At 37.9% G+C, this 21634-nt stretch overlaps 1 long non-coding RNA gene across 1 annotated transcript in view, besides 1 other annotated feature; it reads right to left on the minus strand.

Moving 5' to 3' along the window:
- Window positions 1–21634, minus strand: part of LINC01090 (long intergenic non-protein coding RNA 1090) — a 252096-nt gene that overhangs the window by 74486 nt on the left and 155976 nt on the right. The gene's annotated exons all lie outside the window — the stretch shown is intronic.
- Window positions 13668–14257: an enhancer, noted in NCBI's record as "OCT4-NANOG-H3K27ac-H3K4me1 hESC enhancer chr2:188988476-188989065 (GRCh37/hg19 assembly coordinates)". NCBI's record gives its function as "activates a minimal SCP1, AML or CMV promoter by ChIP-STARR-seq in naive and primed H9 embryonic stem cells {active_cell/tissue: H9 hESC(naive and primed)}" and the evidence as "EXISTENCE:reporter gene assay evidence [ECO:0000049][PMID:30033119]".

The following is a 21634-nucleotide window of genomic DNA, read 5'->3' on the forward strand; positions in this document are numbered from 1 at the left end:
TTTGTGATACTCTCTCTTTCTATATGTAGTTCCAAGTTTCTGACCAGTATCATTTTCCTTCTGCCTGAAGAACTTTTAGCGTTTCTTTCAGGCAGCATCTGCAAGTGATGCATTTCCACAGGTTTTGCTTGTATAAGAAAGTATTTCTTCTTTGGTTTTGGAGGATACTTTCACTGGATATAATTTTCTTTTCAAGACTTTGTCTTTTACAGTGTAAATATGATTTTTTTTTTTTTTTGCTAGGTGTGATGGGTCACACTCACAATCCCAGCAGTTTGGGAGACCAAGGCAGGCAGATTGCTTGAGCCCAGGAGATTAAGACTTGGGAAACATGGAAAAAACCCATCTCTACCAAAAAACAAACAAACAAACAAACAAAAAACAAAAAACAAAACAAAACAAAATTAGCCAGGTCTGGTGGTGCACAGCTGCTCAGGAGGCTGATGTGGGAGGATCACCTGAGACCCAGGAGGTCTAGGCTGCAGTGAGCCGTGATCATGCCACCGCACTCCATCTTGGTTGACAGAGCAAGACTCTAAAAAAAAAAAAAAATCCTTAGTTGAATTTTTGTTGTTTTTTAGTTTGTTGGTTTGAAGTATTTATTCTCCTTGGGTTTTCTGAGCTTGCTAAATCTGGTTTGGTATGTGCCATTAATTGTGAAAATTTCTCACTCACTATTATTTCAAATACTATAGTCCTTTCCTCATTCAGAATTCACTTGTGCCATTTTGGGAACAGTGTTGAAAGGAAGGAGAGTCAACTAATATGTGAGGATCTGTCTATAAAAATGCGTAGTTATGTGGCTGGCTCAGGGTGACCCCTCTGCCTGCTGAAAGTACAGGTGTCCTGATTGATCCTGTCACTGGCCATTTCAAAGTGTTGCCTCTATCATGCAGTATATTCAAAATTCTTCAGGCAGGCTGCTGAGCATCCTTTATACCATCTCAGATGTTAGAAAGTCTGATGTTGGAGGTCTCTTGGATTCCCTTACTGGGCTGTTATAAACCTCCCAGAGTCTTCTCAAAATTACGGGAAACATGCCAGTGGTCCACCACTTATTACTTATCTGGCTGTGGTCAAGTGTCTTGTCCTCTCTTGCGCCTCAGTTATGGCAATAGGCATAATTTAGAACTAAAGAATGTTTCTTTATTGCTTTCAACTGTGACCTATTTCTAGAATAATCTAACATTTCCTGCTAACCCGTAGCAGAGGGCACATCAGAAAAGACGTGTATTATGAGTCCTTCACACACCACTGTTAAGGACAGAGAATATTAAAAATTGCTTTGCAGAGTTAGCTCAGCATAACATTTGGATTTTTAGTACTTCTGAGAAAGAAAAAGCATGTCAACCTCATCTACACTAGCATACGATTGAGGAGATCATTCTAGTCTGCACTAGCAGAATTTAGAGGTGAAGATCACCTGGAATTAAATCCTGTTCCACTACTTACTGTTTGTCCCTATCAAACAAGTTAAATTCTCCATGTTTCTTTTTCCCCATGTACATAGTTAGTAAAGGTAAATTAATCATAAAGTTTTAGAGATTATTTTAAAAGTAATTCATGTAAAATGATTAGAAAAATATCTGACACACAGAAAATACTAAATAATAGCTTTTTCAACATTGAAAAAATCTAAGGATATTAAATATCTTCACTAATTACAGAGAACATCTCAACAATGACCTGGTGGGCAAATTAAATACATAATTTATGAGAATCGTGGAACAACTTAAGAGTAGGCAGTGACATCTGCATGGCATTGAATTTTATACTAAAAAAGGGGCTTATTTATTTAGAATAAATAACTACTTTTTCTGGTTAAGCATTGAAAAGAACAGCTAATATTGTGAGTTACAGTACATTATGAGTTATAAATAGCTAAACAAATTACTAATTGCAGAGTTGATTATTATATATTACTAATTTGAAATTTATTCTAAGTAGTTGTTCCTGAGATTACACATCAAATACATGTGAAAATCAAGATCTAAATACACATTTGAACTTTAGAAGAACTTAACTTACATATTGTAAGATGAAAGGTTTAGTTTCTAATTAAAGCAAATTTGGTTTTGTAAGAGTAGTATGTAAAACACTGCCCTGGCCCGGTGCGGTGGCTCACGCCTGTAATTGCAACACTTTAGGAGGCCAAGGTGGGCAGATCCCTTGGGGTCAGGAGTTCGAGACAAGCCTGGCCAACATGGTGAAATTCTTTCCGTATTAAAAATACAGGCCAGGCGCGGTGGCTCACGCCTGTAATCCCAGCACTTTGGGAGGCCAAGGCGGGCGGATCACCTGAGGTCCAGAGTTCGACACCAGCCTGACCAACATGGAGAAACCCGTCTCTACTAAAAATACAAAATTAGCCGGGCATGGTGGTGCATGCCTGTAATCCCAGCTACTCCGGAGGCTGAGGCAGGAGAATGGCTTGAACCTGGGAGGCGGAGGTTGCTGTGAGCTGAGATCGCGCCATTGCACTCCAGTCTGGGCAACAAGAGTGAAACTCCGTCTCAAAAAAAAAAAAAAAAAAAAAATACAAAAATTAGCCGGACGTGGTGGTGGGCACCTGTAATCCCAGCTACTCAGGAAGCTGAGGCAGGAGAATCGCTTGAACCCGGGAGGTGGAGGTCGCAGTGAGCTGAGATGGCGCCACTGCACTCCGGCCTGGGCGATGGAGCGAGACTCCGTCTCAAAACAAAAACAAAAACAAACAAAACAAACACTGCCCTACATTAACTATGAGAATTACAGAGAAACTTAATTTTCTACAAATATTTAAAAGAAAGGAAAGGAAGAAAGGAAGGAGAAAAAAAGGAAAGAATACTGAGTAGAACATTTTTACTTAAACTCTGTCTTGATAATCTCTAAGCCAGCAGTAGAACTTATTGGCTTCAATGTATTATTACATTCACTTATTTTTACCCGTTAAATATTTATTAATCATGTCTGTGGAGTTAACATTTGGTTACCAATCCATTAGATTTAGCCCATGCTGCTCTTCATGATCCTTCACTGTTGCACATTTAAAGAAACAGCAGGCAAGATAATCTCGTCAGAGTCTATCCACAAGACAAAATCGATCAAATGCAGGCCAACTCCCCACAGTTTGTTTTCTTTTCTATTTTTTTTTTAATCCTGAAAGAGATTAATTGTGTCTAAATTTCTTTCTGGTCTCCTGATGCTGAGAAATAAGAGAAAAATAGTGGTATTTTTGTTTCATTTCGTTTTGTTTTGGCGTGAAAATATTTGAAGATATGTGAAACTCCCCATTTTCCTTTTATAACATTCAAATTTTGGATTATAAAAGCATAGCTTACCCAATATCTTCACATTAAACACATATTTGGTCAACCAATCAAGAGTATGAAATGTACCAAACTGGTTAAATATTATCTCAAATCTAAAATTGTTGACATCCTAAAAATGTTTTCTGACTAATTAAATTATGTTTAACAATGGAGCTTAAAAAAACAAGGTTCCATTTTGATTATTAGTGTTAATGAACACAATATAAATTAAAATACAAATTCAATTAAATCTAAAGAAAACTTCATCTTTAATCTCCATATAGCAATGAATTCAAGATATTTTTCTTCATGGAACATATATTATTTTCAATATATTTTACAAGTTCAAATACTTTCTAAAACAAAGACATCAGACTCCATCACACAGAATTAACCTTGTAATCCTGGCTAGGGACAACTAAGTCAATTACAGAACTGAATCAAGTAACCTAAATGAAAGAAGAAACCCTTTGTTTTAGAGAAGAAAGGTGATTTCTCCCTTTGAGTGAAGCAGCAGCTTCTCAGCTCTAAATAATTGTTGTGTGAGGCTGTAAGAATGTCAGAATATGGAATGTAGATAAATCTTCACGTTTTCATAAGAAACTGGAAACAGAGAACTTTCCTGCTTTTTAATGTTGGCAATAATTCTAAAGAATTTTAATTATGATTGAGAACAAACAAAATATCCCTGAAGGCCAAATTAAACCAGCTGGTGACCAGTTGGTGAGTCCACACCGACATTCAACATATCTTCCTGCCTCTGAAGGTGCTCATAACCTCCTCTCAGTTGAGAATACACTTTCCACTCAGATTGCCACATATGAATCTGCCCAGATAAACATCTACTGTCTGCAAGAGCTCTTTCTCATGTGTTAAAAATGGAAACAATGCCTGCTTCCTCAGAGTTTGTCCTCACTTCCCCTGTGCTTGCTACCACTCTTATCACATATCTTGAAAATAATTGTGTCTTATATCTATGCTGATTTGAAAGCCAGAAAGGTAGGAATGATTCTTATAAAATTTAATATCTACACTCATTTAGTACAATATCTTGCACATTTAAAAATAAAGGTTAAGGCATAAAGAAGGAATGAATTCTAGCATTTGTCTTTTTGAAATGAGCTAATACAGAGTGGTGAATGTCAAATAGAAACATAATAATTTCTAACTTTTTAAAGCATAATTGCATAATATAAAGGACATATTTTTAACATCACCTGAATTGGGGGGATAAGATATTGAGGTAATGGGGCATAGGTAAGCAGAGACAAATAGAAATCTAGGCTTGGTCCATTTTTAACAACTGCCAGTAACAGTTCTAAGAATAATCCAGTAACAGTTCTAAGAATAATCCTTTAAATTAATACTTTATAAATTATAATGCCTAAAATGATTTTAAAAAGCAAATTTTTCAAACTAAAATTTGAAATGATGGAAATATATTGTAATACAAATTATATGGCTTTATATAACTAGATTGTATTCAAATAGCAGTCTAAAATGGCTCATTACCTTTCTGTGAATTATTTGGTATTGAACTTCAGTTAGACAATGACACTGGTTCATTTCTTAAGCTCTGAATTATGGAAAAACCTTTATTGAAGAAGAGTCCTACCTCTAACCTTTCCCATTGTGCTATATTTTAAACCTAACACAAAGAACGAAAGTAACAAGATGCAAGAATAGGCACTAAAATCCCTTCTAAAGAGGAAATATACAGTGTGGTTTTTATTTTTTATTTATTTATTTTTATTTTCATTTTTTTGAGACGGAGTCTTGCTCTGTTGCTCAGGCTGGAGTGCAGTGGCACGATCTCGGCCAGCTGCTAGCCCCGCCTCCTGGGTTCGCGCCATTCTCCTGCCTCAGCTTCCCGAGTAGCTGGGACCACGGGCACCCGCCACCATGCCCGGCTAATTTTTTGTATTTTTAGTACAGATAGGGCTTCACCGTGTTAGCCAGGATGGTCTTGATGCTGACCTCGTGATCCGCCCGCCTCGGCCTCCCAAAGTGCTGGGATTACAAGCGTGAGCCACCGCGCCCGGCCAGTGTGGTTTTTATTAATAATTATAAATTTATTTAAAAAACTAACAGTAGCACAATACATTTAGTAACTACATGTGGAGTTCATTTATGGAAGTGAATGTCTCCAACAACTCATAGGAAATAAAACCTTGACAAGCTATATTATTAGTGCAGCAAGCTCTTAAAAAATACATTTCAAGGTAATCTTTAGACTAGACAATGGCAAAATTCTAATGTTTAGTTAGAACAACAATATTTCTTAATTTTAGATAGAATGATATAGTTTACAAAGTATTTCTCATGTATTACCTCACTTGATAAATACTATTTGGTAAGGAGAAAAGGCAAAAGCTGATATTCATTTTAGAATGGAATGAAAAAATAGATGACTTGGTGAATTTTGACTATTAGCAAGTACTGGAGACAGGGCTAGACCCCAGGTCTCCTGATAGTATCTTTCAGATTTCCATTAAACCCTTTAGCTTGTCACAGGTTTAGAGTTCAATCATAGAGTACATTAATATACCTTTGCAGCAAGAGTAGGGGTTTATCTAATTCTCTTTTTTAAATTACATACAATTTTACTAAAACTACTGAACAAAAATTAAAATTCATTTCTGCATAATAGGACCTGGTTGGAGCATTTGTTAGTATTTTGTTGGCATTGACTCTAACTCTTTCCTAAGGGTTCTAGGTTTCTTTCTATTGGAGAAGGGAAACTGAATCTTCTCAGCTCCATTTTTGGAGCAAGTTACTTGGGTTAATCCAATCAAGACTTCTTTTTCCTGTTTCCTTCTACCCTGAGTATAACTAGACAAAACTGTAGCCCTAGAAGCATTGGTCTCCACCTAAAATGAAGCCAGTATCTTTTAAGGTAAATCACAGAGATAGAAATGAGGCTTTTAGTGACATCATTGAGCCACTAGATCAGGCTTTGCATGATCTGCTTCTGTTACAAGAGCCAGTAAATTGGGCAAGTTCAAGCTGGCTTTTTAGTTATTGCCAACTGTAAACATTCTAATTGTTGATGAATTTATCAGTTCTAAGCTGAAAGTACTTCCAGTCTCTTCAGTGTTTAAAAGAAATCACTGTCAGAGATATGACCCAAATCCTCCATACTGCTGTCAGTGAACTTACTTTGCTCACTGAACTTTTTTTATGTACAGATCCCTGTTCAAGGTCTGATTTCTTGTTGAATCCTCAGTGAAGTCAACGACTGGCTATCATCTCTGTTGAAGGAATCTTTGCTTACTTTTTAATTCATACTATAGTATCAGTTCTTCCAACTCAATAATCTCAATCTTTTAGCTTTTCTCATAGGACTTATTTTTAAGACTTTTAACTTACCTCTATGGGTGACTTTGATTTCTCCTTAATGAATCCACATCATTATTAAGCGACCCCTAGAAACTGACAAAATACAAATCTTGAAATCTGTGAAATATTTTGCACAACATAAATCGGAAAAATCTATACATTTTTGAGAATATACCCTCCTTGTTATGAAACTTGTTTTTCTGATATTACACTATCTGAAAGAAAGTTTCTCTGTATTTATTTTATAGAACACTTCTCACTAGTAGCTTTTGTTTAAAATAATAATGATTGGCTCTTAAATTGCAAGAAATAATGTCTTTGAGCATTGTTTCTTATTTATTCATTTTTTAAAATCTTCCTTCCACATTTTTCATAATGTATTTCTTAATAGATACTCAATAAATACTTTTTAAATGAATCACCAAATTTTCTTAATGGTGATCACTTTCATCATTACAGAGTAAGCAAAACAATATTTTTGGTAAATAATACAGGACTGGTAAACATTTTTAATATTAATTCATGATGTGTCAATGAATACCTATCCTTTAGTGGAGCTATTAACAGCAATAATAAATATTAATGATAGCCACCACTTATTGGAAACTTATGATGAGCCAGGCACTATTCCAAATTATTTACCTGATTAATTATTCACTTAACACCTATAATTACTCTATGAGGGACACATTATCATTTTACCCATTTCACAGAGAAGGAAACAAAGTACCTTAAGTTTCTATATAAAACTATTTAAGACTCTTGAATAGGGGTTATACAACTAATAATTTGCCATGCCAAGATTCAAATCCTGGCAGTCTAGCAAAATGAGATATCCCATAGAATCTGGGAGCATACACAATTGGCATCCTATAGGAAGTACAGAAGACTGCAGAAAAAATAAAAAGAATATAAAATGCAGGCAAATAACTACCTGCAAAATTTATTCTATGCTGTACTGTTCTGCCTCCTTTTCATATCTCCAACAATTTCCTGACTCTAACAACATGTAGTTTTCTGCTACCACTCTCTGAGAAGTTGTCGATATCATCTGTGGTTTTACATGTTCCTGGCTTATAAACTATCTTTTCTATCCCCTAATGTGTGGATTTTTTTCCTCTTTATGGCTCAACTTATCTGGTAATCTGGCAGACTTGAACGTCCTGGTAGCCTGACATTCCCATCTTCCTGATTCATGACTGGCTGCTTGAGAGGGAGTTTTATAAAAGTAACACCATCAGTTATCTTAGTGGCCTCCAGAGTCCAAACTACAGGACTTTGGGTTAGCTCCAGTTTTCAGGATTCTTGATGTATGGCATTTGAAATTTACCATGTAGTTATTAATTGTCCAGAAAAGTTGCCAAGAGTGGTAATTTAAGATGGCTCTTCCTTCTCTTTCCAGAGCTAAATTGAAGTAAAGAAATAAGTCCTCAGAATAAGGAAAAGTGGAAATGAATATAGAACCAATAGTTATCAAGTGATTATTATTCGATAGAAACTAGGTATTTTTCTCGTTGAAGAGCAGAATATTCTGACCATCTTGGGGTAACCTGGTTATCAGAAGTAAGTATGGATCAGAGTTCATCGCTTTGCCCAGTTTTTCACAGGACTTCCCAGAGTTACTCCAATACTTTTAAATGAGGCTTGGAGAGGAGGGAGTTTACAACCAGGGCATAACTCAAGTCCAGGCTTAACTGGCAAACAGGTCCTAACTATAAACCAGAACTTCAAGTTGCCTCTCCTATTTGTTATCACATCAATTTGAAAGAGAATAGAAAACTTTAAGTTTATATTCTACCTATCCTAAAATTCAGTATAATTATGCTTTGTTACAACTTACCACAAATAGATTTTCACCTAATTATCTTAAGAATGTTATTACTGACTATAATTGTATGGCTCTGTTGCAATGTTATTCAGATACTTGGCTCCAAATTCTGGAATGAATGAACAGGAAAACAAATGACCTAACCGAGAACATAATTTAGTTTATTTGGCTGTTGATAAGGGGCTTATATTTTTATAGCTGTTGGAATTTCATTGTCAGTACATTTATCCAATAGCTGTGCTTTTAATATCTAGGTGGTATATGATCACAAGTGTGTCTTCAAAAGAACACTCTATTAAGAATACCACTAATGCAACTATCAACTTTTTAAATGATTGATGCTTAGCCGACCTTTCAATGCTTTATCTCAGAACTTCTAAGAATATAAAATGACTAGATTCTTAATACAAGGCTACAATCACACAGCTATTGCCATGTGGAATAACAGAGTCAATCAAATAGTGATCTATGATTGTGCTAACAATAACATGGATACTAAGATATACCCACGTAGCCAACTGGCAGGCTAGAAAGCAAAAGGAAAAAATATTAAAACAAAGTTTGGGGTTTAAAACATCAGAGAAAAAAATTCTGTTTGCTCAAATGTTTCCCTTGCATATAAATCGCCATTATTAACACAATTTTTTCTTTAAAGTCAAGAAATTTTTTCTTCCTACGTAATTTTACCCACACCTCTTTGATTATATGCTCTAAGATAAAGAGCATAGTTGCCAGTAGAGGCTTAGGGATTTTATAAACATCAATCAATGTCACAGCTAGAAGTAGATAAATCAAGATATAGCAATAAAACCTAAAGTGTCTTCATTCTGACACTAGTCAGTTATTTCATTAAGAAACATTTTAGATTAAAAGTAAAATGCACTTATCAGAGTAGTAAATCTTTGTCAGAGCAGAAAGGTTTATGTTAACTATCTGGGGTAAAATAAGAGAAAAAAGAGAAAAGATGACATTCCTTTAATATCTCATATAAAAAGGGATTTTAGTCATAACCCTAATTCCTGCTTTTTCTCCTTCAGTCTAAACGAGCACAGCTCTTGGGCTCCGGAAATTCTGGTGAGCTGAGAGAGACAACCTATAAGGAGTTAGGAGTCTCACGTGCCTGTTGATTGGAAGCAGGTGCAGCAGTGTGCTCTCTATTAACCTACTCTTAGGCCCCAGCTTCATTCCATGTGTTCTAATGCAAGGGGTGAGGTGAGGGATAGGGAGTTCTGGGTTCTTTTCTTCTGAGAGAAGGATTATTAATGCAGGAACCACAGGATATGGAAGAGTAGCTGTATTAGTTCATTCTCACACAGCTATGAATAACTACCTGAGACTGGGTAATTCATAAAGAAAATATGTTTAATTGACTCAAAGTCTGCATGGCTGGGGAGGCCTCAGGAAACTTACAATTATGGCAGAAGGTGAAGGGGAAGTGAGCACATCTTCACATGTGGGAGCAGGAGAGAGTGCAAGCGAGTGAAGGGGGAAGTGCCACACTTTTAAACCACCAAATCTCGTGAGAACTCACTATCACGAGAACAACATGGGGGAAATCTGCCCCCAGGATCCAATCACCTCCCACCAGGCCCCTCCACTGACACGTGAGGATTACAATTCAACATGAGATTTGGGTGGGGACGCAGAACCAAACAATATTAGTAGCCATATAAATTGGGGGACGCTGAAAAAAAGAGGCTCTAAAGAGGATACCCCATGAGAACAATAGTGCTTTTTAGTTATTTGTCTCCCCTACTCCAAGTTCAAAACCCCAGAACCTGGCTCAGTTGTATTTTTTTTTTTTTTTTTTTTTTTTTGAGACAGAGTCTCGCTGTCGCCCAGGCTGGAGTGCAGTGGCGTGATCTCGGCTCACTGCAGGCTCCGCCCCCTGGGGTTCACGCCATTCCCTTGCCTCAGCCTCCCGAATAGCTAGGACTACAGGCGCCCGCCACCTCGCCCGGCTAATTTTTTGTATTTTTAGTAGAGACGGGGTTTCACCGTGTTAGCCAGTATGGTCTCGATCTCCTGACCTCGTGATCCGCCGCCTCGGCCTCCCAAAGTGCTGGGATTACAGGTGTGACCCACCGTGCCCAGCCTCAGTTGTATTCTTGACTCATATCAGAAACTGAATAAGTGGAAGGATTCTGGAGCTCTCCAAAGTAGTTTAATATATTATTAAAGTTTCCTACACCTACCTCTGAGGTCCTGAGCCCAGACAGCATGTGTTTGTGGTTGAAAATCACAAACACACTGCAGTTTCTAGCAACAAAATAATACTCTCCATGGAGTTTCTAGATTCCTTAAGGGTCCCTCCATCAGTTCCTCTGCCTCTTGGAATCTATATAGCTCAGGGTTACTCCTACCATTGCCTCAAGAAGGTAAGATCCACGAAGAAAACTGAGATGTTATCTCTTAGAATGCTTTCTTAAAATTGTTTTAGTTTTAAAATTGCAATATTGATGCAAGAAAGCAAGCCAGGGTCATACTACAGGGCATTACAGGCCTACCTTGTTTTATTGTGCTTCTTGTGGGAAGACTTTGTTGAGCACATCTACCCCTACCATTTTTCCAACAGCATATGCTCATTTCGTGTCTCTAAGTGTTCACCTTGAATGGATGAAGAGTTGCTTCTTATGAATGAGCAAAGAAAGTGGTTTCTTTGGATAGCTCTACTCCCAGTGAAGATGCTGTGAACATTGTTAAAATAACAACAAGGAATTTAGTATGTTCTATAAATTTGTTTGATAAAGCAGTAGCAGGGTTTGAGAGGACTGACTCTAATTTTAAAAGAAGTTCTACTGTGGGTAAAATGCTGTCAAACAGCATCATGTACCAGAAAGAAATCTTTCATGAAAATAAGAACCTAATTGACCTGGCAAATTTCAATGTGCTATTTTAAGTTTCCACAGCCACACCAACCTTCAGCAACCAGCACCCTGATCAGTCAGCAACCATCAACATAAAAGCAAAACCCTCTGCCAGCAAAAAGAGTATGATACTGAAAGCTCAGATGATTGATAGCATTTTATAACAATAAAATATTTTTAATTAAGATATGTACTTTTGTGTTCTAGATATAATGGTATTGCATACTTTAAAAACTATAGTATAGGGTAAGCATAACTTTTTTTTTTTTTTTTTTTTTTTTTTGAGATGGAGTCTCGCTCTGTTGCCCAGGCTGGAGTGCAGTGGTGCGATCTTGGCTCACTGCAAGCTCCACCTCCCGGGTTCACGCCATTCTCCTGCCTCAGCCTCCCGAGTAGCTGGGACTACAGGCGCCCGCCACCACGCCCAGCTAATTTTTTTGTATTTTTAGTAGAGACGGGGTTTCACCGTGTTAGCCAGGATGGTCTTGATCTCCTGGCCTCGTGATCTGCCCGCCTTGGCCTCCCGAAGTGCTGGGATTACAGGCATGAGCCACCGCGCCCGGCCGGGTAAGCATAACTTTTATATGCACTGGAAAACCAAAAAATTTGTGTGGATTTCTTTATTGCAATGTTCACTTTATTGCAGTGGTCTAGAACTGAATCTGCAATATTTCTGAGGTCTGTTTGTAGCCCAGATCACTGTCTATGAACTCTTCGCTCAGTGTGAGCTTTCTGATTCCTCAGGACATTATGTGAAATATTTTAAATATAATCTTTGCCTAAAACAGAAGTTACTATGGAGACTCCACCATTTTCTTAGCTGAAATATGCTAACACCTTTATAAAACTAACAAATTCTCACATATCCTCTCTCCCCAAAAGGTGAAAAAAATTTGTTAATCCTCCAAAAGTAGCTAACTCAGAGGTATATCTGGATAATGTAGCATATTTCTGTTGCCTGGACATTGGTTTTTCATTTACCTTAGAGGAGTACACATCCTTTGGCAAATGAACTGAAGATCCCAAATTTACCTAAGTTAATGCTGAATTAGATAATTCCTTATGTCATACTTAATTCCAAATGTATCCATGTTTTCATAAGCTCCTTAAACTATCATAAAGCTTAAATATCAAGAAGAAAACATTATGAAACTGAATAAAATGATTTTAAAGTAATTTTTAAGCAATTCAAAATAATTAAAACAAATTCTAACATAATAGATTTGAAAGGGAATCTTTGGATTCTGTCTCCAGAGCAAATGTTCCATTTGGAAATTCTAACAATGAAAACTGCTGTATTAGTGAAGTATTCCCCTCAAATTTATGGTTTTTGGAAGATCTCCCTGAATTTCTTATATTTTTAGATTCCAACAACTTTATCTACTGTAAAATGCATAATCTCCTTAATCTGAAATGGCCAAATGAAGGAACTCTTACCATTATAATTTTTTCTATCTTCCTCTGAAAGACGAATTCCAGTCATCCTTAAAGTAGTCTAGCAGTTTTAAGATAGTCTCAAAATATAGTCTAATTTATTTTCATGAAAATAAACACTCATCTCCGTAGATTATACTTTTATGAGTTATCTCACCTTCATATTTATATTTAAGCTTCTTTCTTTACAGCTTATTAGAATAAATCACTCAATTTAAAATCTTTCATGAGAAGCAAGTAGATTTTAGACACAATTATGCCACCACTGTGTCTAACCTCTCTCTCATCTTATCAAGAAAATGACTAATAATAGAATAAGCTCTTTGCTGAGCTCATTGATCCTGCCTTGATTCCACAAATAGATTCTGACTGTGTTCCAGCATATACAATCTTGCTACAGATCATATGCTATTATTGTATCAACAAAGCCTGTACTATAATATTCCTCTAAGCCACAGACAAAGAAGTTTCTGGCAGATAAAATGTTTTTATTATATGGTATAGTGAATAAATTAGCTCTACCATTGGTTTTAACATATCTAAAAAATCCACAATCTATTTTAGACTAATATCCTATAATAAGTAGACAACACAAGTATTACATATTGCTGGTTTTATTTATTATCAAAAAGCAAGAATAAATATAAAAACAAATAAAACTATTGGCTAATTATTGTCAGAAAGGACAACTTCATATGAAAACTTAATATGAAAATTAAAGATGAGCGACGCAGAAGACGGGTGATTTCTGCATTACCATCTGAGGTACCGGGTTCATCTCACTAGGGAGTGCCAGACAGTGGGTGCAGGTCAGTGGGTGCGCGCACCGTGCGCGAGCCGAAGCAGGGCGAGGCATTGCCTCACTTGGGAAGCGCGAGGGGTCAGGGAGTTCCCTTTCCGAGTCAAAGAAAGGGGTGACGGACGCACCTGGAAAATCGGGTCACTCCCACCCGAATATTGCGCTTTTCAGACCGGCTTAAAAAACGGCGAACCACGAGATTATATCTCACACCTGGCTCGGAGGGTCCTACGCCCATGGAATCTCGCTGATTGCTAGCACAGCAGTCTGAGATCAAACTGCAAGGCGGCAGCGAGGCTGGGGGAGGGGCGCCCGCCATTGCCCAGGCTTGCTTAGGTAAACAAAGCAGCCAGGAAGCCCGAACTGGGTGGAGCCCACCACAGCTCAAGGAGGCCTGCCTGCCTCTGTAGGCTCCACCTCTGGGGGCAGGGCACAGACAAACAAAAAGACAGCAGTAACCTCTGCAGACTTAAGTGTCCCTGTCTGACAGCTTTGAAGAGAGCAGTGGTTCTCCCAGCACGCAGCTGGAGATCTGAGACCCGGCAGACTGCCTCCTCAAGTGGGTCCCTGACCCCTGACCCCCGAGCAGCCTAACTGGGAGGCACCCCCCAGCAGGGGCACACTGACACCTCACACGGCAGGGTATTCCAACAGACCTGCAGCTGAGGGTCCTGTCTCTTAGAAGGAAAACTAACAAACAGAAAGGACATCCACACCGAAAACCCATCTGTACATCACCATCATCAAAGACCAAAAGTAGATAAAACCACAAAGATGGGGAAAAAACAGAACAGAAAAACTGGAAACTCTAAAACGCAGAGCGCCTCTCCTCCTCCAAAGGAACGCAGTTCCTCACCAGCAACGGAACAAAGCTGGATGGAGAATGACTTTGAGGAGCTGAGAGAAGAAGGCTTCAGACGATCAAATTACTCTGAGCTATGGGAGGACATTCAAACCAAAGGCAAAGAAGCTGAAAACTTTGAAAAAAATTTAGAAGAATGTATAACTAGAATAACCAATACAGAGAAGTGCTTAAAGGAGCTGATGGAGCTGAAAACCAAGGCTCGAGAACTACGTGAAGAATGCAGAAGCCTCAGGAGCCGACGCGATCAACTGGAAGAAAGGGTATCAGCAATGGAAGATGAAATGAATGAAATGAAGCGAGAAGGGAAGGTTAGAGAAAAAAGAATAAAAAGAAATGAGCAAAGCCTCCAAGAAATATGGGACTATGTGAAAAGACCAAATCTACGTCTGATTGGTGTACCTGAAAGTGATGGGGAGAATGGAACCAAGTTGGAAAACACTCTGCAGGATATTATCCAGGAGAACTTCCCCAATCTAGCAAGGCAGGCCAACGTTCAGATTCAGGAAATACAGAGAACGCCACAAAGATACTCCTCGAGAAGAGCAACTCCAAGACACATAATTGTCAGATTCACCAAAGTTGAAATGAAGGAAAAAATGTTAAGGGCAGCCAGAGAGAAAGGTCGGGTTACACTCAAAGGGAAGCCCATCAGACTTCCAGTGGATCTCTCGGCAGAAACCCTACAAGCCAGAAGAGAGTGGGGGCCAATCTTCAACATTCTTAAAGAAAAGAATTTTCAACCCAGAATTTCATATCCAGCCAAACTAAGCTTCATAAGTGAAGGAGAAATAAAATACCTTACAGACAAGCAGATGCTGAGAGATTTTGTCACCACCAGGCCTGCCTTACAAGAGCTCCTGAAGGAAGCACTAAACATGGAAAGGAACAACCGGTACCAGCCGCTGCAAAATCATGCCAAAATGTAAAGACCATCCAGACTAGGAAGAAACTGCATCAACTAACAAGCAAAATAACCAGCTAACATCATAATGACAGGATCAAATTCATACATAACAATATTAACTTTAAATGTAAATGGACTAAATGCTCCAATTAAAAGACACAGACTGGCAAATTGGATAAAGAGTCAAGACCCATCAGTGTGCTGTATTCGGGAAACCCATCTCACGTGCAGAGACACACATAGGCTCAAAATAAAAGGATGGAGGAAGATCTACCAAGCAAATGGAAAACAAAAAAAGCAGGGGTTGCAATCCTAGTCTCTGATAAAACAGACTTTAAACCAACAAAGATCAAAAGAGACAAAGAAGGCCATTACATAATGGTAAAGGGATCAATTCAACAAGAAGAGCTAACTATCCTAAATATATATGCACCCAATACAGGAGCACCCAGATTCATAAAGCAAGTCCTGAGTGACCTACAAAGAGACTTAGACTCCCACACATTAATAATGGGAGACTTTAACACCCCACTGTCAACATTAGACAGATCAACGAGACAGAAAGTCAACAAGGATACCCAGGAATTGAACTCAGCTCTGCACCAAGTGGACCTAATAGACATCTACAGAACTCTCCACCCCAAATCAACAGAATATAAATTTTTTTCAGCACCACACCACACCTATTCCAAAATTGACCACATAGTTGGAAGTAAAGCTCTCCTCAGCAAATGTAAAAGAACAGAAATTATAACAAACTATCTCTCAGACCACAGTGCAATCAAACTAGAACTCAGGATTAAGAATCTCACTCAAAGCCGCTCAACTACATGGAAACTGAACAACCTGCTCCTGAATGACTACTGGGTACATAATGAAATGAAGGCAGAAATAAAGATGTTCTTTGAAACCAACGAGAACAAAGACACAACATACCAGAATCTCTGGGACGCATTCAAAGCAGTGTGTAGAGGGAAATTTATAGCACTAAATGCCCACAAGAGAAAGCAGGAAAGATCCAAAATTGACACCCTAACATCACAATTAAAAGAACTAGAAAAGCAAGAGCAAACACATTCAAAAGCTAGCAGAAGGCAAGAATTAACTAAAATCAGAGCAGAACTAAAGGAAATAGAGACACAAAAAACCCTTCAAAAAATTAATGAATCCAGGAGCTGGTTTTTTGAAAGGATCAACAAAATTGATAGACCGCTAGCAAGACTTATAAAGAAAAAAAGAGAGAAGAATCAAATAGACACAATAAAAAATGATAAAGGGGATATCACCACCGATCCCACAGAAATACAAACTACCATCAGAGAATACTACAAACACCTCTACGCAAATAAACTAGAAAATCTAGAAGAAATGGATAAATTCCTCGACACATACACCCTCCCAAGACTAAACCAGGAAGAAGTTGAATCTCTGAATAGACCAATAACAGGAGCTGAAATTGTGGCAATAATCAATAGCTTACCAACCAAAAAGAGTCCAGGACGGAATGGATTCACAGCTGAATTCTACCAGAGGTACAAGGAGGAACTGGTACCATTCCTTCTGAAACTATTCCAATCAATAGAAAAAGAGGGAATCCTCCCTAACTCATTTTATGAGGCCAGCATCATTCTGATACCAAAGCCGGGCAGAGACACAACCAAAAAAGACAATTTTAGACCAATATCCTTGATGAACATTGATGCAAAAATCCTCAATAAAATACTGGCAAAACGAATCCAGCAGCACATCAAAAAGCTTATCCACCATGATCAAGTGGGCTTCATCCCTGGGATGCAAGGCTGGTTCAATATACGCAAATCAATAAATGTAATCCAGCATATAAACAGAGCCAAAGACAAAAACCATATGATTATCTCAATAGATGCAGAAAAGGCCTTTGACAAAATTCAACAACCCTTCATGCTAAAAACTCTCAATAAATCAGGTATTGATGGGACATATTTCAAAATAATAAGAGCTATCTATGACAAACCCACAGCCAATATCATACTGAATGGGCAAAAACTGGAAGCATTCCCTTTGAAAACTGGCACAAGACAGGGATGCCCTCTCTCACTACTCCTATTCAACATAGTGTTGGAAGTTCTGGCCAGGGCAATCAGGCAGGAGAAGGAAATAAAGGGTATTCAATTAGGAAAAGAGGAAGTCAAATTGTCCCTGTTTGCATATGACATGATTGTATATCTAGAAAACCCCATTGTCTCAGCCCAAAATCTCCTTAAGCTGATAAGCAACTTCAGCAAAGTCTCAGGATACAAAATCAATGTACAAAAATCACAAGCATTCTTATACACCAACAACAGACAAACAGAGAGCCAAATCATGAGTGAACTCCCATTCACAATTGCTTCAAAGAGAATAAAATACCTAGGAATCCAACTTACAAGGGATGTGAAGGACCTCTTCAAGGAGAACTACAAACCACTGCTCAACGAAATAAAAGAGGATACAAACAAATGGAAGAACATTCCATGCTCATGGGTAGGAAGAATCAATATCGTGAAAATGGCCATACTGCCCAAGGTAATTTACAGATTCAATGCCATCCCCATCAAGCTACCAATGACTTTCTTCACAGAATTGGAAAAAACTACTTTAAAGTTCATAGGGAACCAACAAAGAGCCCACATCGCCAAGTCAATCCTAAGCCAAAAGAACAAAGCTGGAGGCATCACACTACCTGACTTCAAACTATACTACAAGGCTACAGTAACCAAAACAGCATGGTACTGGTACCAAAACAGAGATATAGATCAATGGAACAGAATAGAGCCCTCAGAAATAACGCCACATATCTACAACTATCTGATCTTTGACAAACCTGACAAAAACAAGCAATGGGGAAAGGATTCCCTGTTTAATAAATGGTGCTGGGAAAACTGGCTAGTCATATGTAGAAAGCTGAAACTGGATCCCTTCCTTACACCTTATACAAAAATCAATTCAAGATGGATTAAAGACTTAAATGTTAGACCTAAAACCATAAAAACCCTAGAAGAAAACCTAGGCATTACCATTCAGGACATAGGCATGGGCAAGGACTTCATGTCTAAAACACCAAAAGCAATGGCAACAAAAGCCAAAATTGACAAATGGGATCTAATTAAACTAAAGAGCTTCTGCACAGCAAAAGAAACTACCATCAGAGTGAACAGGCAACCTACAAAATTGGAGAAAATTTTTGCAACCTACTTATCTGACAAAGGGCTAATATCCAGAATCTACAATGAACTCAAACAAATTTACAAGAAAAAAACAAACAACCCCATCAAAAAGTGGGCAAAGGACATGAACAGACACTTCTCAAAAGAAGACATTTATGCAGCCAAAAGACACATGAAAAAATGCTCACCATCACTGGCCATCAGAGAACTGCAAATCAAAACCACAATGAGATACCATCTCACACCAGTTAGAATGGCAATCATTAAAAAGTCAGGAAACAACAGGTGCTGGAGAGGATGTGGAGAAATAGGAACACTTTTACACTGTTGGTGGGACTGTAAACTAGTTCAACCATTGTGGAAGTCAGTGTGGCGATTCCTCAGGGATCTAGAACTGGAAATACCATTTGACCCAGCTATCCCATTACTGGGTATATACCCAAAGGACTATAAATCATGCTGCTATAAAGACACATGCACACGTATGTTTATTGCGGCATTATTCACAATAGCAAAGACTTGGAACCAACCCAAATGTCCAACAATGATAGACTGGATTAAGAAAATGTGGCACATATACACCATGGAATACTATGCAGCCATAAAAAATGATGAGTTCATGTCCTTTGTAGGGACATGGATGAAATTGGAAATCATCATTCTCAGTAAACTGTCGCAAGGACAAAAAACCAAACACCACATATTCTCACTCATAGGTTGGAATTGAACAATGAGAACACATGGACACAGGAAGGGGAACATCACACTATGGGGACTGTTGTGGGGTGGGGGGAGGGGGGAGGGATGGCATTGGGAGATATACCTAATGCTAGATGATGAGTTAGTGGGTGCAGCACACCAGCATGGCACATGTATACATATGTAACTAACCTGCACATTGTGCACATGTACCCTAAAACTTAAAGTATAATAATAATAAATAAATAAATAAAAGAAAAGTTAAGAAAATAGTTTATTGGTGTTCCACGTCATCTACCTCCCCCATCTCAACAAATTTTCACATAGATTCCTAGAAAGAAATTCTTGATAAACTTTTCTCCTGCTGTTTTTCTCATTATAAGCACTATCCTCGAAGTCAACGAATTTCAGAATGTTAGACAACTTATCCTCCAGCTTCTAATTCAGTATCATCTCCTTTTAAAAGTTTTCCACATTTTGTTAGTTTGGGAATGTTGCCCCTTCTATGAATAATCTGTTCCTGTTTGTTAATAGTCTATACATCTTCACTAGACAGTGTATGTACTCACTGAAGATAAGAACTTAGATGTTTATCTTAGTGTTCCCAGAAACTGGCATAGTAGTAAATGTATGTTGACAAAAAAATTTGAAATTTGTTGACTTTAAGGATAGTGCTTATAACGAGAAAGACAAGAGGAGAATAGTTTGTCAAGAACTTATTTCTAGGAATCTATGAGCAAATGAGTGAATGAATAAGTTGGCATGAGAACGAAGTCAGATAAGTCTTCATAATCATTTTCTGATCCATTTTTAATGAAATTACTCTTTTATCTCAACTATAGCCATAACCTTCTATAGTGAACATCTTGCTCTTAGTTTTTCCCTTTCCAATCTGCATCCTCTGCTGTCTTTTTATACTGTATCATCTGCCAGATCACTTTATCCTTCTGTTTGAAAACTCCCAGTTGCTCCCAACGATATAACTAATGATAAGAGTTACACAGAAACATATATACTCTCAAATTCTCTCTTGTATTAATTATAAAGACACATGCTGCCTGGAATGGGATGAGCTGCTCTGTCTACTTCTCTCTCATGGTGTCTCTGGCTCCCCATTGCTCTACTGTGTTCTCTCAATTCTTTCTCTGCCAGCCAGATTCCTGAGCCTATTTTTATTTTCTGCCCATGGCCACCAGGGCCTCTTCAGATTCTTCTCTATACCATGACAATTGAGCTGCAATCTCTGCTGCTCACTGGCCTACTCTCTGTGCATTCTTTAATTCCCACTCATAAGAGGGAATCTCACTGGCTCAGCTTGAATATTTGCACAAAGCTCCAAATTACTATTCTTTGTTCACCTCCTTACCTCCCTCTCAAGGCATGAAACAGAAGCAGAGTTTAATAATTCAGAAACATTACCTGTAAAGTCCACCCCTTTAGCAGAGCTGCGGGTAGAGCAATTGATCTGAGAATGGGCTGTAGAATGAAAGGTACTGGTGCTGAAGCCAGTCTATATGACTAGCTGTTGGAGCTGTATGTTCTTGTGTAAGTTTCTTAATGTCTTGTTACCTTAATTTCTTCATTTGTATATTAAGAATACTAATAGGACCAAACTCATAGAATTGTTGTGAGCATTAAGTGACTGGACATATATATATATATATATATATACACACACACACATATATGGATGTGTATATATATATACACATATATACACATGTATGTATACACACATACATACACATGTATGTGTGTGTATCTATCTATCTATCTATCTATCTATCTATCTATCTATCTATCATCTAGCTATATCATAGAATAATACCTAGCCCATTGTAACCACTGCAAAGTGTTAAAGTGTTAATTACTATTACCTATTTCCATCAGGGTCCGGGTCAAATGAAATCTCCAATCCAAAGTCACCTACAGACCCCACTAACCACTGTCCCCTGAGCAATTAAAACATAGCTATTATTTCTTTCCCTCTGGGATTGTCCTCCTTCTATTTTACTGCAGAATCCAGGCTTTTCTCTCATCCATGTTCTTATTTGCTCCTTCTACCTGGGGATAATATCCTTAACTCTATTTAATGAACATTCCCAGCTTTGAATTATACATTTTTAGCAAATATGGTCTTTTCTCTCAATGTTCTCAGGAGATGTGTTTAATACCAAAGAATATGGTTAGATTGTGCAATATTTTTTTCCTACCTTAGAAACTGCTCATTTGAAAATGGAAATTCGACATTTCATCCAGTCATCAAGCTCTCTCTGTTAAGAGAATAAGTCCACTCCCTTACTTATTAGACAAAAAGAGAGTTAATGTCTACAACTAATAATGGCACATTCTGATATTCCAGCTCATCAGGTTCCTATTACAAATAATTATTTTATTAAAGACTTGCAGCTGTTTAAACTAAAC

Source organism: Homo sapiens, chromosome 2, assembly GCF_000001405.40.
Source record: "Homo sapiens chromosome 2, GRCh38.p14 Primary Assembly".
In the NCBI taxonomy this organism is placed as follows: domain Eukaryota; kingdom Metazoa; phylum Chordata; class Mammalia; order Primates; family Hominidae; genus Homo; species Homo sapiens.